This window comes from Homo sapiens, chromosome 2 (assembly GCF_000001405.40).
Source record: "Homo sapiens chromosome 2, GRCh38.p14 Primary Assembly".
Classification (NCBI taxonomy): domain Eukaryota; kingdom Metazoa; phylum Chordata; class Mammalia; order Primates; family Hominidae; genus Homo; species Homo sapiens.
In genome coordinates this window covers 208,988,672-208,990,935 of record NC_000002.12, presented here as the reverse complement: position 1 = coordinate 208,990,935, position 2,264 = coordinate 208,988,672, and the positions used below count along the sequence as shown (strand labels likewise).

Here is a 2,264-nt window from a genome sequence, read left to right as displayed (position 1 = left end):
CCTTTCATCAGCTCTGCTGAACATATGGTGGCGTCGTTCTTAGGCAGGCTACCTCCTTAGGGAGGCAGAGGAGGCCCCAGCAGGCCTAGGCTCTTAAATAATTCACTTTTCATTTCCAGTGAAATTGAGTTCCTTCTCTAATAGTTTTGTCAGAAAATCCCAAATAAGATTTTGATTATCATATCTCTGGTTCTGTGAACACTTTATGGTGAGAACATACATGTAATGGGTTTCCCCCTAGCAAAAAAGAATTCATGTCAAAAGAATGAAGAATGAATTCTGGGCAGACAAAATAAACAGATGCCATCTAAAAATGCTTATCCTGTTTCCTTCAAAATTGTAATGCACAGCATGAAGGATTATTTCAATGACAAGGAGTCCAGCCTTATAGAAAGAGAGAAACAGCTACTGTGGCTGTCAGAATAATCAGTATTCCAGGGTTATTTTTCCTCGTAACTTCTGTTAACCTGTCTTCCTCGCTAGAATATAAATTTCGCCTACGTAAAGATTCTGAATATTAGTCCTCAGCCCAGTGAATAAGTTGACATTTTAATATTTAATTTTAATTAAATATTTAATACATGTCAATATTTGTTATCACTTGTAGATACAGACACTATCATATCATTCCAGAACTTAAGCTCCAAACATTTTGTGAAAATAATTATTCAGTTATTATTGTTGGGATTATTAACAGTGATAATCCATTAAATTTATTTTTACTTTACTGATTTCCAAATGGGTCCATATACTTGATCTCTTTTGGCCTCTTAGTAATCTTGTGTTTTTAAAGGGTCATGGGTAATGCACCTGCCAAAGGGTATATCATTACATGTCAGAATTGGTTCAAGGTTTACATCTTGATTTTCCCATATTTATTCCTCCTATCTGTGCTGATTCTTCTACATTATGTGTAGGATGTGGCAGCATGGGAGCCCAGGACATTTAAAAGTGAATAGGATTTGAAGCAGGGGGAAATGGGCAAAAGAGAAAAGCTAGTACAACAAAAGCAAATGTAATAAAGCCAACTCAATAACAACAATAAAACAAGCAATATAGCCGCAATAGCAATAAAAAAGAATTTTAGACAAAAGAAATGGGTTCACATTTCAATTTCACTGGGCCCTGGTACTTTCTGGACATGTGACCTTGGTAAGTTAACCTTGGAAATTTGGTTTCAAGCTCTGTTGCAGTCTGGTACAGCAAGAACATCTCACATTGTTCCGATCTAAAAATCCAATAGCCACAGACAGAAAGGGGAATAGAAAGATAAAAACAAATAAGATACCAGAGAATCAGCCTGGTCCAGATCACAGGTCATTTTGACTTACCTGTAACAATTTACAGAACCCATATGTAATTGACCAGCAATAAAGCCAAGATTCTTTAAACGTTAAATCTGTAAGAAAATTGTACACATAGCAGAAATGAAAATACAAGAGGCAGTTTCTTGCCTGTCAGGATATTCTCCTTAGCAGTTACTAAAATGTAAATAATCAATAAAAATTAGTGAAACAAACGATAGACCGGTTAGGACCTCCATAATGATAGTGTGAAAAGCTCAGTAAACTCTCTAGTGAAACAATTATTTGACTGGTGAAAATTATATTTAAACACACACACACACACCCAGACACACACACACACACACACACACACACACACACACAGCCATTTAAAGTTTCTGGATTTGCCCCAAAGGCATACGGCAAATGAAGAAACATTTATTCAAGAACATCTACTAAATCTCAGTGAAAACACAGTCAGTGACATTTGGGCTGTGATCTGCTCCCACATCCCTCTGCCAGCTTTATGGGATGGAAGCTCTGCTCCAGATGCTTTGTTCTCAGCAGGTACAGCCAAAAAAACAACAGCTCTTGCTAGCTCCTAATCTAGTGCTATGAATTTAGCCAGGAGGGAAGGTCATCACCATCTATTATCCTGCCTCAGTGCTATGTTGCAGAAGTCCTATCCCTGGCAGGTTTGACTGCATGAAGTAGGTCTCCCTTCCCTGACACTGAGCTCCCCTTTTCCCCAACTCCTGCTCACAGGGTTAGGGCTCCGTTTCAGGAATGAAAGACCAAGAATACTGGGGCCTGATTGTTTCCATCCTAGCTTGCTCATATGTTCAAAATCCTAATGGAAACCAAGTCTAAATAATTAAAGGAAGGCATGACATCAAGAACTCATCAACTATAATATAAGTAGATAGAAATTATTTTTTTAAGAATCATATAAAGATTCTGGAGTTTTTAAGTATAATA

General features: G+C 37.4%; 1 annotated feature.

Moving 5' to 3' along the window:
• Positions 1,552 to 2,053: an enhancer, noted in NCBI's record as "NANOG hESC enhancer chr2:209853607-209854108 (GRCh37/hg19 assembly coordinates)". NCBI's record gives its function as "activates a minimal SCP1, AML or CMV promoter by ChIP-STARR-seq in naive H9 embryonic stem cells {active_cell/tissue: H9 hESC(naive)}" and the evidence as "EXISTENCE:reporter gene assay evidence [ECO:0000049][PMID:30033119]".